The sequence below is a fragment of the Homo sapiens genome, chromosome 4, assembly GCF_000001405.40.
Source record: "Homo sapiens chromosome 4, GRCh38.p14 Primary Assembly".
NCBI lineage: Eukaryota > Metazoa > Chordata > Mammalia > Primates > Hominidae > Homo > Homo sapiens.
In genome coordinates this window covers 1210107-1223923 of record NC_000004.12, presented here as the reverse complement: position 1 = coordinate 1223923, position 13817 = coordinate 1210107, and the positions used below count along the sequence as shown (strand labels likewise).

Below are 13817 nucleotides of genomic sequence, written 5' to 3'. Positions count from 1 at the left end.
CAGCACTGTCCTGGGTCCGGCATGCAGCGGTGAACCGGCCCCACACAGCCAGGCCCAGGTTGAGCTCAGAGCGGCAAGCGTGTGCATGTTTGTGCACGTGTGTGTGTGCGTGTGTGAGATCCTGGGAGTAGAGCCATGTCTTAAGGGAAAGTAGAGCTGGGAGAGGCCAGGTGAGGGGCCCCGTGAGGGAGGGGGAGCATCTGGGCGGGGCCCAGGTGTGGGGTGGGAAGGTGCTCCCTGAGAGGGTGGGCGGGGGTGGTGTACCTTTTCTGAAGACTCCCTGGACACCTTGGCCCAGCTGCCTGTCTCCCCAGATCGCGGGTTCCTCAGGAGGCCCCATGGGGATGCAAGGGCCTTGCCATGCCAGGGACTCCCCTTGACCGGCCGGCCCCCCGCTTCCCAAACATCCAGGCAGCCCACTCCTGCTGACCGCTGTCCTTGTCCCGCCAGCGTTTGGGGAATCGGACGTTTCGGGTGGTCTCGGTGAGGCGGCCACACCTAGGTTAGTGGGAGAGGTTGGTTCACGGATGTGCATGGAACACGTGCCTGTCTCTTCCTGGACACGTCTCTCACGGTCTTGCTGGTGCCCCCACCAGGACCCCAGGGCTGGCTGGAGCCTGTGAGGATCCCAGAGCCCTGAGGTGCCTGTTCCTCACACCTCTGCCCATCTGAGGCCTGGGCGGCCCCTCCTATGTCAGGGCCATGGCCCGCATGTGTGGTTTGTTGAGGGGAGGAGGGAGGGTGGGCAGGAAGCCCAGGTTGGGGCAGAGGTCGGGAGGGGCCGGGGACTCGGGGCTCTGTGGACCTTCAGATTCGTGGACTGCCTGCTGGCCTTGTCCAGGGGGCGGTGCCTCCGCTGTCTCCAGAGCAAGCCCACAGGACAGGAGGCGCCTCATGTGTGCCTTGCCTGCAGGTCACCGCCTGTCCTGCAGCCACAGGTCTGACACCTCACCTGAGGTGTACGAGGGACTGTGGGATGTGGGGGGGGTATGGGCTGTGTCTGTGTGGCCAGGGATGTCTGTAGTTCCCCTGGTAAGAGTAGGTGGGTGTGTTGCCCCCAGAGTCATGTGTCCTGTCTCTCCTGGGGTCGGGGTCTGTGGTCCCGGCCCTGAAGGCCCCGGGCTCTTCCCGTGGCCACTCTGAGGCCTGAGGGCGGCGCCTTCCCAGGCTGATTGTGGAGCTGGGCCCAACCAGCCCCTCCCAGGGCCCCGTGCTGAGTGGGGGTTGGAACACCCAGGTCGGGATGCCCTCAGAGGGTAGGGCTGTGGCCACCCCGTTCGTTAAGGACCCCACCTGCCAGGGCCCCCGCCCAGGCCTGGCCTGAGGAGTGTGGGTGGGGACTGCAGGTGCGGGGACCCCGGCGTCCTGAGGAGTGCAGGGTGGACCTGGCAGGTTGTGGGGGTTTACCATGGGCGTTCTGCCCTGCACTGGCCCAGGTCGTCCTGTGGGCTCTCGGGCAGGCCCCCCTGGAGCTGCTGGGGGGCAGCTGCTTCCCTCGCTCTCGGCGCGGGCCCCTCTGTCTGTGGTGATCTTGTGATGAACCAGGCCAGGTCAGCGCTCCCTCGGCCTCGGGAGCTGAGGAGAGCAGTTCTGTCCTTAGGGACACGAGCCCCCTGACGCTGCAGCCTCTACCTTGTGGACGGGACCCCTACCCCACCCCGGCTGCCCACCTGGCACCCTTGACTGCAGAACACCTGCGTCCCGTCCCCCGCCCCGCCCCTCGCCCTTGTCCCTGAGCCCCATCCCACCCTCTGTGGAAGAGCCTCATGCTCCAGGCGGGGCCGGTGCTGGGCACCAGCCACTCAGGCTCTCCCAGGGTGTGCATGTCCCCATCTGCCCTCTGCTGTGCACACACTGTCTGGGTTGTTCTTAGCGTGGAATCCGCGTGTGTGGTGGCTACAGGAATGTGGAAGCCCTGGGCAGCGTGTGGCTCACGGTGTTGGTGCCACTCGGCGCAGACTAGGGGGCGGCCGCTTCCTCTGCTCTACGAGGCTCTGGTGCCCGTGACTTACATCTCCTTCTTGTTTCTTTCTTTCCTCCCTCCTTCCCTTCCTTCCTTCCTTCTGAAAAATGCACTGTCTTAGGTGCACACAGGAAAACATTGTACACATTCACCCCATGAACCCACCAGCACGTTGACAGAGCAGGCTCCTGCACACAGACAGCTCCCTCGGGCCCCCTTCTCCCGTGGCGGCCCCGCGACGACCCTGCGAGGACCCGGGTCCCGCTTCCTAGAGCAGAGGGCCTTCCCCAGCTGTGCCGAGGTGGGATCACGGGCACGCAGCCTTCTGTGTCCGCCTCCCGTCAGTCGGGGTGATGCCTCTGGGTCTCACCTGTGTTTTCATACGACCCAGCAGTTTCTGATAACGGTTCCATCACGTGAACACAGCACGATTTGCTTCTCCAGACTCTTGGTGATGCATTTTGTAAGTTTTTGGCTAATATTACAAACAAAACTTGTGTGAACACATTTCTGCCCGTCTTTTTTGTGCACATAGACTCACGTCTCTTGGGTTTGTACCTAGGAGTGGAATTTCTGAGTCCCAGAGCAGGACATTGTTTCGCCTGGAAGGAGTCGCTGTTCTTCAGGCAGGGGCGCGGCGTCATGCTCCGGCAGCCGCGTATCCTTGCCAGCACTCTGTGTAATTCTAGCCCTTCCAGCAGGTATTTTGTGATATTTTAATTTTAACCTATAGTTTCCTGATAAGTGAGGAGGCTGAGCACCTCTTTGTGCCCTTGGCCACTCGGAGCACCTCCGGCCGTCTTTTTCGTGTTGGTTACGAAGCCCTCACGTGGTCTGCGTCAGGTTCTTGTCAGATCGACATGCATTGTGGATATTTTCATAATTTCAAAATTTTTGTTTTTTCTTGTTTACGAATATCTCAGGCCGTGGCTTGACTTTTCACTTTCTTGACCTCTCTCTGTGACGAGAACACGTTTTCAGTTTTTATGAAGCCCAGCGTATCACCCGTTTTTTAGGTGAATACCTTTTGTGTCCTGAGGAATCTGTTTACCCCAGGGTCATCCGGGTAACAGGTTCTCTGTGTTTTCTTCTGGAAGCTTCTACCTCTAGGTCCAGGGTCTCCTGGGCTGCCACTCACACGTGGTGTGAGGCTGGGGTGGTGGCCCACCCTTTCCCGGGATGGCAGGTCGCTGCGGCACGATGCGCCGAGGAGCCCTCCTTCCGGTTGGCTTGGCTCCTCTGTGGAAAGGCAGTTGGCCACATGTGAGTGGGTCCGTCTGGACTCTTCTGTTCCGTGGACCTGTTTTTCTTCCCTTTCCTCCCATGTGACGCTGTCTGCACGGCTGTGAGCCTTGAGATCCTCCACCATGTTCTTGACGAGGGTCTTGGCTGTTTTAGGTCCTGCTGTGCATTTCCATTTCCATTCTGGAATCAGCTCATCAATTTTCATTTTGTTGAGTCCTTAAAATCAGTTTTGGGAATGCTGACTTCCTAATAATATTGAACCTTCGGGACATAAATATGATCTCTCCATTTATTTTAACTTTTCTTAACGGTGTTTCGTCGTTATCAGTAGAAGGTTTCCACGTAGTTCATTAAGTTTATTGTTAGGCATTTGGCATTTGTAATGCTGTTATAAATGTTTAATTCTTTTTTTCTTTTTTTTTTTTTGGAGACAGTCTTGCTCTGTCGCCCAGGCTGGAGTACAGTGGCGTGATTTCGGCACACTGCAATCTCTGCCCCTTTTTTTTTTTTTTTTTGAGACAGAGTCACACTCTCTTGCCAGGCTGGAGTACAGTGGCATGATCTCGGCTCACTGCAACCTCCACTTCCTGGGTTCAAGCAATTCTCCTGCCTCAGCCTCCTGAGTAGCTGGGATTACAGGCACACGCCACCATGCCTGGCTAATTTTTGTATTTTTAGTAGAGACAAGTTTTTGCCATGTTGGCCAGGCTCGAACTCCTGACTTCAAGTGATCCACCCATCTTGGCCTCCCGAAGTGTTGGGATTACAGGCATGAGCCACTGTGCCCGGCCTAATTGTTTCTTGACAGTTGGTTATTAGTAGGTAGAAATACACTTGAGTTTTGTAAACCAACCTCATATCCCACAGCGTTCTAAATTCTCCATGTTAGGCCGGGTGCAGTGGCTTGTGCCTGTTATCCTAGTGCGTTATGAGGCCGAGGCCGGAGGATCACCAGGAGTTAGAAACCAGCCTGGATGGCGTAATGAGACCTGCCTCTGCCAAAAACAGATTCTCTTGAATTTTCTCTTGCACACACTGCTGTGTCATCTGCAGATAAACACAGATTTACATTTTCCTTTCTGATCTCTGTACCTTTTATTTCTTTAATTTCTTTATTTTTGCCTTTTTGCATTAGCTACAATCATCAGCAGCAGTGAGTGTGGGTGTTACCGTGTTGATGTGGGAGAAAAAGTTTCTGACATTTCACCATTAAGTAGGACGTTTCCTGTTGGTCTTTTTGTGGTCTAATTAATTGGTCTGATGTTGAGGCAGCCATCCCAGCTCTTTTGATCAGTGTTTGTGTGGTATGTCTTTTTTCATCCTTTTAATTTTAGCTTATCTCTGTTCTTATATTCATTCATTCAGAGACAAGGTCTTGCTCTGTCACTCGGGCTGGAGTGTGGTGGTGCGGTCACGGCTCACTGCAGCCTTGAGCACTGGGGCTCAAGAGATCCTCTTGCCTTAGCCTCCGAAGTAGTTAGGACTATAGGTGCGTGCCACTGCAATTTTTTTAAATTAATTGTTATTATTATTATTATTATTTTTTGGTAGAGACAAAGTCTTGCTGTGTTGCTCAGGATGGTCTAGAACTCCTGGGCTCAAGTGGTCACCCTGCCTTGGCCTCCCAAAGTGCTGGGATTACGGGTGTGAGCCACGGCGCCTGACTTCTGTCTTTTATGTTTAAAGTGTGTCTGTTATTAATAGTATAGAGTTAGTTCCTCTTTCTTTTTTCAGTCTGACAGTCTTTGCCTCTTGAGTGTTCAGTTCATTTATTTTTAGTGTAATTGCTGATGATTTGGATTTCGGTGTCATCTGGCTACGTGTTTTCTGTTCATCCTTGTTTTTCCTTTCTGGCCTTCTTTTATATTAATCAGGTGTTAAATGATTCCTTGCATCTGTTGTTGCTTTTTAACCTATACTCTGCTTAGTGATCGTGTTTAGTTTTACTTTAGAGATTAGGATACGCCTTCATAACTCACTGCCACCCAGCATAACCTGTGAAGACTCGTCCAGGGCGGCCAGAGGCCCGCGGTGGCTCCTCTCACCCTCGGGCCGATTTTCCACGTCTATTATGCAGAAAACCGTACAAGAAGCTATTAGTCATGAGTCTGTCAAGGAATTTTTCAGTAATTTTTCTTTTGAATATCAACCGACACATCCACCCTTTCTGCCTTGTTTACGCCCCCCGATTCTGGCTGTCCTCGGGCGTCACGTTCCTGTAGCCTAAAGACTGTCTTAGAAATGTGGCTCACCAGTGACCGATTCCTTTTGCTTTTCTTTGTCCGAAAATGTGTTGCCTTTTTTTTTTTTGTGGAAGGTAGTCTCGCTCTGTCGCCCAGTCTGGAGTGCAGTGGCGCGATCTCGGCTCACTGCAGCCTCTGCTTCCCAGGTTCACGCCATTCTCCTGCCTCAGCCTCCCGAGTAGCTTGGACTACAGGCGCCCGCCACCACGTCCGGCTAATTTTTGTATTTTTAGTAGAGACGGGGTTTCACCATGTTGGCCAGGCTGGTCTCGAACTCCTGACCTTGTGATCCGCCCACCTCAGCCTCCCAGAGTGCTGGGATTACAGGCGTCAGCCACCAAGGCCTGTTCTTTAAAATTTATTTTTTAAATTCTTTTCTCTCTGCTTCTGTTTGGATGCCATCTGCTGACTTTGAGCCCCTCCCTTCAAGCTCCCGATCCTTTTCTTGCAGTTAGCTTTGTCCAGGGAGTTCCGTTTCAGAGGGATGTTTTCGTTCTGGAATTTCTATGTGGTTCTTTATAGAGTTACCATTCATCTTCCGGAAGCCTCCATTTTTCTGCTGTTTACATCCACACTTGTTGTCATCTCTGAGCATGTTTATAGTAGTTATTAAGAGGTTTTGCTGGCTGATTCCAGCCTCGGTCATCTGTGCGTCTGTCCGCTTCCAGTGTTTTGTTCTAATTAGAAACTACATCCTCCTGTCTCTTCACCTGCATCATCATAATTTCTTATCCTAAGCCAGACATCATGTGGAAGAGAATGGCAGAGACAGAAGTGAAGAATGGTCTCGCCCCGAACAGCCGCTGCTCTCCCGTGTCAGGCGTGGCCGGCGCCGGCCCGCGGCTTTAGCTGGTTTTCGCCACCGGCAGCCCGACTTCCGGGGCTTTGTGTTGTGCGCAGTGGGAAACAGCGTGTCGTCCGCCTTCTGCGCTGTGGGAGACGCCTTTCTCTGTGTCTGCCTGTGTTCTCTTCCTCCCCATTTGGTGGGATCCCTGGCAGGGGGCGTTGACAGACGGGCTGTTCTGCACCTGGGGAGCTGCCCGGGTACTCCGGCCGTGGCTGCAACCCTCAGAACTGCTGCTCCCACCTCCGCCTGCCGAGCCCTCCTCCCTCCTGCAGCAGCCTCGTCCCTGGGGATGGAAGGAGCCACCATGTTCCTTCTCGTAGAACAGGCGCCTCCCTTTCTAGGATGTAGTGCGTTTAGACGGTCCTCAGCTCTTCTGACTGGCCTCCCAGCCTCCCCCAGTCCTCTTCCCAGAGTGACTGGGGGTCCCCTGGGCGTTTGGGCCACGTCCGGCCACCCTGTGTGCCTGGCGGTCTGGTCTCCTTGGCCCTCAGGCCGCCGCGGGCCCCTCGCACGTGTTGTTCCAGCTCTCTGGCTCCCTTCCTGTCCCCTTATGTCTCCAGCAAGCTTGGTCTTCTCAGGGAGGCCTGCCCTGGCTGCCGCCTTTGAAACTGCGCCCACTTCCCACCCGCCCCGGCGCTCAACCTGCTTCCTTCCTGTGTAGCGGTTCCCTCTGAGGCAATGCAGGAGACACCACGTTCGCGGGCTTGGGGTCCTGTGTCCTTTGCAGCCATGCTGTTGGCTCACAGTGGGCACGAGCACTCTGCAGACCCTTCCCCGAGGAGGAGCCGGCCCCAGCCAGACACGGTGGCTCAAGCTCCACGGCTCCTGTGCTGGGACCCGTGCCAGCCTTGGACTGCTGGGGTGGGGGCAGGCACGTCTGCCTGGGATGGCTTTCTCTGCCGCTCCACTCGAAGGGGTCAGGACCTGAGCCCAGCGGGGCCTCCCTGGTCTGGAAGTTTCCCTCCTGCCCCCTTTGCCGTCTCCACGTAGTGGTGGCTGGAATTGAGATGCCGGAAACATTGATGGGTGGATCGAAAGGCCAGCGGAGGGGCCTGGGCACGGAGGACATGTGTTGGGTGGGTGGAGACCCACTGACCAGTCCGTTTGACACTGAGTGGTTCATGTCACGTCCTGTGGACAGGCTGCAGGGGAGTGGTGTGGCTGGCAGCTGGTGTGGGCCGAGGGGCTAGTGTACCCTTTCCACCCCTGTGCATCTCCTCCGCCTTGGCAGTGGGCGCGTTGGAGCGGACGTGGAGCGCTCGTGTGGAGCGTGCGTGGGCACCTTGGCTTGACCACAGCTGGTGTCATCCTTGGCAGATGGTCAAACTGAGGCACAGAGGCCACTCCGACCCTGGCTTTCGGGGCCGGCCTCCCGGCCACGGGTGAGCAAGGGTCTCACACTGTGTCTTGACGCCACCAGGTCGCGTGGGGCAGGCAGTGGCGCTGCGGGCCAAGGCCTTCGGCTTCAACGTGCTCTTCTACGACCCTTACTTGTCGGATGGCGTGGAGCGGGCGCTGGGGCTGCAGCGTGTCAGCACCCTGCAGGACCTGCTCTTCCACAGCGACTGCGTGACCCTGCACTGCGGCCTCAACGAGCACAACCACCACCTCATCAACGACTTCACCGTCAAGCAGGTGCGTGGAGCCGGGGACACAGGACTCTACTTCTGCGGGGCAGGTACAGGTGGGGGTGTCAGGCAGGTCCCTCCCAGCAGCCATCTGCACCTGGGCAAGACCCTGCCTTCAGCGAGCCACATGGCGGCGGCTGCCAGCCCTGCTGGGGGAAGCCCTGTCTGCCCAGACAGCGTTTTCTGTGTTCTGAGTTCTACTCAGGACATCTAAAATACTCTCTGGACAAGACAGAACCTCATACCTTTGAACACCAAATTCCCCTGAAGCCCTTGCTGTTGTCACAGTGGGGACAGATGCAGCTACCTGGGGGCGTTGGGTCGGCCCTTGTGACTTCCGTGCTGCCAGGTTCAGGTTTCACATCTGCAGCTGGAACGGGCTGTGCTCAGGTCGGCCTCTGACATCTGCAGCTGGAAAGGGCTGTGCTCAGGTCGGCCTCTGACATCTGCAGCTGGAACGGGCTGTGCTCAGGTCGGCCTCTGCCTCAGCACAGCTCGCAGTGCAGCCTCAGCCCTGCGTTCCCCTTGAGTGGGTGGAGCTGGGGATGGCTGCCTCCCGCTGGCTCCAGGCCCTTCAGGGAGTCATCGTGTGTGCACAGTGATGTGTATGTGTGTGGGCAAGTGTGCGTGGGTGCATGTGTCTGCATGTTTGTATGAGCTTGTATGTATGTGCATGTGTGTACACACGTGTCAGAGGCCACCCGCCCACTCTAGCTGCCCCAGCAGCCTGTAGCCACAAGGAGGATGAGGCCAGGTTCCCGCTGCCCCTTCCTTTGTTCACAGAGTCAGTGGGTTTGGAGCCTTCTAGGGGACAGGGTGTGGCACGTGGATGCTGGTCAGAGCCCTGCCGTCCCTGAGGACCTTGGGTGTGAGGCTTTAATGGGCAGCAGTGCACCAAAGAAAAGCCACCGTGACCTGCCCAGCTGTCAGCCAAGCACCGTGGCTGGGTGGACTTCTTGGAATGAAATGGGGGGGCTGCAGGAAAGCCCTGGCCACGAAGCCGAGGGAGAGCCACCCGCAGGGCTTTTTGCAAAAGTGCATGAAAAGCGAGCCTGTTCCGAAGACGGAGGCTCTGCTGCAGGCCCCGCTGGGGTTGGAGTCAAAGACCACGCCTCAGAACAGACGGCCCTGGGCTTTGCCGTCCCAGGGAGTCCCACCTCGTGGGCTGAGGCCCTGCGTGGGGGAGGCTGGGCTGGAGGGGACCCAGAAAAGGGGTACCACAGGGGGACCAAGCCAGGAGCCCCCGCCCAGTCCTCAGCTCAGGGCTTGGGCAGGAGGGTGGAGCTCTCTAGGAGCTGTGGGGCCGTGCAGGTCCATACAGGGCAGATCCTCAGCCAGCCTGTCAGGGCCGCGGTGCAGCACGCCCGAGGCCTTCAGTCCTAGCGCCGTGGTGAGCCCAGGGTGGGGCTGGGAAGGGGCTAGGGAGCTGGGCCTTCCCAACGGCGTGCGTGACCACCTTGCTTCCCTGGCTGCCCGCCCTGTGCGGATCCCTGACTGGGCCTGGCCTGTCCTTATGTCTTCTAGATGAGACAAGGGGCCTTCCTGGTGAACACAGCCCGGGGTGGCCTGGTGGATGAGAAGGCGCTGGCCCAGGCCCTGAAGGAGGGCCGGATCCGCGGCGCGGCCCTGGATGTGCACGAGTCGGAACCCTTCAGGTGCCCCCACGGCCAGTGCCGCCCCCCTGCTCTTCCCTGTCCACCATCCTGCCGGCCTTGACCTCCAGACGGCGCCTCTGCCAGGCCGGACACTTGCCTGTACTCAGGCCTCTCGCTGGCCAGCAGTGGGGGAGTTTGCCGCCCGCTGCGGGGTGAGGATGGAGCCACGGGCTCTAGGCCTGCCTTGCCTCGGTCCTGTGAGGGGCTGCTCAACCTCCTCAGCCCTTCTTTGGGCAGGGCTCCTGACCAACCAGGAGAGAGTGAGGCCCCAGTGTCTGTGAGTGGTCCCCATGGGCCCTGGCCATGGAGTCATGGCATCCCGTCCAGACCTGCAGCCCCTACAGCACCTTGGGACCCCAGGCAGCCCTGGGTTGGATGTTCAGCCGCAAGAGGAGACACCCCCACAGGGGCAGTATCAGCCTGCAGCTCCTGGGGCTACAGACCCTTTGGCTGGAAGGGGCCAGGCAGCATGTCCCCCCATCAGGGCTCCTCCCACGAGGGACTTGGAGATTAAATCCCTTGGGCTCCCACACCCGCCGCTGTCAGGAGCCCCTGGTGTGTCTGATGGTCCCGGGGCTGTGCTCTTGAGCTCAGCCAGCCTGCCGAGCAGAGCAGGGCCGTGGGGTCTGTGGTTCCCAGGCAGGGCCCCCCACAGGGGGTTCCAGTGCCCAGCCACCTCCCCTCCGTACCCAGCCACAGCACTCAGGCTGCACTGACCATGCCTGTGCTGTTCCCAGCTTTAGCCAGGGCCCTCTGAAGGATGCACCCAACCTCATCTGCACCCCCCATGCTGCATGGTACAGCGAGCAGGCATCCATCGAGATGCGAGAGGAGGCGGCACGGGAGATCCGCAGAGCCATCACAGGTGGGCGTGGGGGCCGCTCGGTCAGGCCTGGGGGTCCCTTCCTGCCAGCCCCAGATGCTCATGGGCTCGCATCCGCCTGGCAGCCAGGCCCATGTTCTGCCAGCTCAGGGCCCGTGGTGCTCTCACTGCACCCCCAGCAGGGACCTCTAAGGCCAAAGTCAAGTTGAGCCCTGGCGTCGTGTCTTACACACAGGACCTGCTGGGAAGTTGCTGGGCTGAGCAGACAGGTCCCTCAGCAAGCTGGGCACGTGCTCTGGGCTGGGGGTCCCCACGCTGCAAGGGTGCCAGTGCCCAGAGAGACAGGACCCTGCCGTGCCTTGGGAGCCCCGGGGCTGAGAGGGAGGAGCACACTGCCAAGAATCCTGCTGCCCGTGTCTTCAACCCAGTGGGCCACGCTCCTGGGGCCCCCTCAGAGCCACAGCTGTTCCTTCCTCCTGCATCTCCCAGGCCGGATCCCAGACAGCCTGAAGAACTGTGTCAACAAGGACCATCTGACAGCCGCCACCCACTGGGCCAGCATGGACCCCGCCGTCGTGCACCCTGAGCTCAATGGGGCTGCCTATAGGTGAGCAGGCCCGCTGGCCCAGAACAGCCTCCAGGAGGGCCCCAGGCTTCCCCTGGATCCCAGCACAGCCCCTGGTGGGAGGGGCGGCGTCTCCACTGACTGACCTGGAGGATCTGGGTAGAATTGGTAAGGCCAACCTCACCTGAAAGGCCCATGAGAACCAGGGCCTCTTGGAAGGAGCCTGGGCTGGGGTGGCCTTCAGGGCTCAGTGGACACAGGAGTGCCATGGGCACGGGGCCTGTGGGAGGAGGGGGCTTTGGGTGAGGCGAAGACCTCATGTTCAAGTCACCTGGAGACACCAGGGCTCCCCTCCCCAGCCCTGAGAAGTAGCTGCCATAGGCAGGAACATCCGTGTAAAGGCCGGGATCCTTACCCTGACTGCTGGTCCTCCTGGAGAGGCCCCCTCGGTGCTGCCGATGCTAGGAGGGCAGGTGGGGCCTGGCCAGGCCGCCTACAGGTGGGCCTCACGGATGGACCCTCTCCCAGCAGGTACCCTCCGGGCGTGGTGGGCGTGGCCCCCACTGGCATCCCAGCTGCTGTGGAAGGTATCGTCCCCAGCGCCATGTCCCTGTCCCACGGCCTGCCCCCTGTGGCCCACCCGCCCCACGCCCCTTCTCCTGGCCAAACCGTCAAGCCCGAGGCGGATAGAGACCACGCCAGTGACCAGTTGTAGCCCGGGAGGAGCTCTCCAGCCTCGGCGCCTGGGCAGAGGGCCCGGAAACCCTCGGACCAGAGTGTGTGGAGGAGGCATCTGTGTGGTGGCCCTGGCACTGCAGAGACTGGTCCGGGCTGTCAGGAGGCGGGAGGGGGCAGCGCTGGGCCTCGTGTCGCTTGTCGTCGTCCGTCCTGTGGGCGCTCTGCCCTGTGTCCTTCGCGTTCCTCGTTAAGCAGAAGAAGTCAGTAGTTATTCTCCCATGAACGTTCTTGTCTGTGTACAGTTTTTAGAACATTACAAAGGATCTGTTTGCTTAGCTGTCAACAAAAAGAAAACCTGAAGGAGCATTTGGAAGTCAATTTGAGGTTTTTTTTTTTGTTTTTTTTTTTTTTGTATGTTGGAACGTGCCCCAGAATGAGGCAGTTGGCAAACTTCTCAGGACAATGAATCCTTCCCGTTTTTCTTTTTATGCCACACAGTGCATTGTTTTTTCTACCTGCTTGTCTTATTTTTAGAATAATTTAGAAAAACAAAACAAAGGCTGTTTTTCCTAATTTTGGCATGAACCCCCCCTTGTTCCAAATGAAGACGGCATCACGAAGCAGCTCCAAAAGGAAAAGCTTGGGCGGTGCCCAGCGTGCCCGCTGCCCATCGACGTCTGTCCTGGGGACGTGGAGGGTGGCAGCGTCCCCGCCTGCACCAGTGCCGTCCTGCTGATGTGGTAGGCTAGCAATATTTTGGTTAAAATCATGTTTGTGACTGTAACCATTTGTATGAATTATTTTAAAGAAATAAAAATCCTGGAAAGAGCCAGCGTGCCCAGCATCTATTCTGGTGACTTTCTCTCATGAGGACACGGGTGAGCCTCAGTCCTGGCTCTGGTGACCTCCACGGCTCAGCTCAGCCTCTCTGAAGTGGGCGGCCTAAGAGAGACCCAGAGACAGTGCAGTGGCAGGTTGGGCAGTGGTCTCTGTGTGTACCGGGCCTGTCCCTCTGCCCACTGGGTCTGTGGGACGCTGTAGGGTCCTGGCTTGGAGGCGGCCTGCCCGCAGTGCCCCAGTGGGAGGGAAGCAGTGTGCCAGCCGGGCCGTTGTGTGGATGATGGTGTGACTGGCTGAGGTCCTGCCCCACTGCCCACCCCTCCCTTCTTGGCATAGCTCCTGCAGGCCGGCCTGCAACCTGGGAAGACTGTGGGCCACAGGAGGAAGGAAAGCAGATGTCAGGGCTGAGGAAGCTCCCCAGACCATGGGTCAGCCAGCCTACGGAAATGGGCAAAAAAGCCAAAAGGGGTCATGCCTCACCTTGGCCCACAGCTGAGCCTGTTTACCGGCGTCCTCTTCAAAATCCCAGCCTCCTGGTTTCTCAGAGCTGCTTTTGGAAGCGTGGTCCATGCAAATCAGCAGAGTCCCAACTCATTTATGAGAAGGGGCTGCAGCGGGTCCAGGCGGTGCGAGGAGGGGCTGCAGCGGGTCCAGGTAGTACGAGGAGGGGCTGCAGCGGGTGCTGGGGAACCCGGGTCCCCTCGGGATGTTTCCATCCCAAGCCTTTCCCTGCATGCAGGTGGGTTATCCTGCCACCCCAAGTGTCCAGACCCTGCCGCGTCATCCGCCAAGTGTCAACCTCCCCTTGCTCCCTGCCCCATATAAAGCAGAAAGAAGCGGGGGGGGGCTGCTGCCTTTGGTGGGGTGCCCCCTCCTACCTGGCTCTGCACCCCAGTGCTCGCAGAGGTCTCTTGGGTATGGGCAGTGGCTCCCAGTCTCGAGGCCCACGCCGAGGACAGCCCCACCTCATGACTGAGGCCTCTGCTCCCTGCCCTCTCCGGAGGTGAGTGGCAGAGGCCGCCCAGCCCATCTCTGACCTGTCTTGGGCTCTTCAACTTGGAGCCCCCTGGGCCACTGAGGGAGGTGGCCTGGGCAGGGTGGGAAGGGTGGGTTCTGGACACGGTTAACAAGCCGGCCCTGGTTTTGCTGACGTGGGCACGGGTGTGAGGAGGGGCAGCCAAGGTGACTTCAAGTGTCTGGGCTGCAGGCTGGAGCTGATGTTTTCTGATATCTCTGGTGGGGGCTGCAGAGGTGGCAGTGGGAAGACCAGGAGTTCCGCGCTGACGGCTGACTCCAGCCTCTCCACAGGCAAGCCCTGGGCTGGGTCACT

The 13817-nt window shown here is 58.5% G+C and overlaps 1 protein-coding gene and 1 long non-coding RNA gene across 13 annotated transcripts in view, besides 2 other annotated features; one reads left to right on the top strand and one right to left on the bottom strand.

Annotated features, from left to right (window-relative positions):
* CTBP1 (C-terminal binding protein 1) overlaps positions 1-12479 on the top strand; it is a 38911-nt gene extending 26432 nt beyond the window's left edge. For 7 of the 12 annotated variants that reach the window (NM_001377189.1, NM_001377190.1, NM_001377186.1 and 4 more), the window contains 5 exons: positions 7719-7933; positions 9451-9581; positions 10319-10446; positions 10894-11011; positions 11498-12479. In NM_001377189.1, the coding sequence (NP_001364118.1) occupies positions 7719-7933; positions 9451-9581; positions 10319-10446; positions 10894-11011; positions 11498-11684 (779 nt within the window). In that variant the 3' untranslated portion in view covers positions 11685-12479. The remainder of the gene's footprint in view (positions 1-7718; positions 7934-9450; positions 9582-10318; positions 10447-10893; positions 11012-11497) is intronic. The other 5 variants (NM_001377192.1, NM_001377193.1, NM_001328.3 and 2 more) reach the window with 1 other exon arrangement.
* Positions 4710-5299: an enhancer, noted in NCBI's record as "active region_21149". NCBI's record gives its function as "activates an Ori minimal core promoter by ATAC-STARR-seq in GM12878 lymphoblastoid cells {active_cell/tissue: GM12878}" and the evidence as "EXISTENCE:reporter gene assay evidence [ECO:0000049][PMID:35858748]".
* Positions 5333-13804, bottom strand: CTBP1-AS (CTBP1 antisense RNA). The gene is made up of 6 exons (NR_104331.1): positions 13366-13804; positions 12968-13034; positions 11385-11890; positions 11154-11249; positions 8234-8378; positions 5333-7965 (listed from the first exon to the last, which is right to left on the bottom strand). It is a non-coding gene; the product is annotated as a CTBP1 antisense RNA (long non-coding RNA).
* Positions 6648-6717: a silencer, noted in NCBI's record as "silent region_15123". NCBI's record gives its function as "represses an Ori minimal core promoter by ATAC-STARR-seq in GM12878 lymphoblastoid cells {active_cell/tissue: GM12878}" and the evidence as "EXISTENCE:reporter gene assay evidence [ECO:0000049][PMID:35858748]".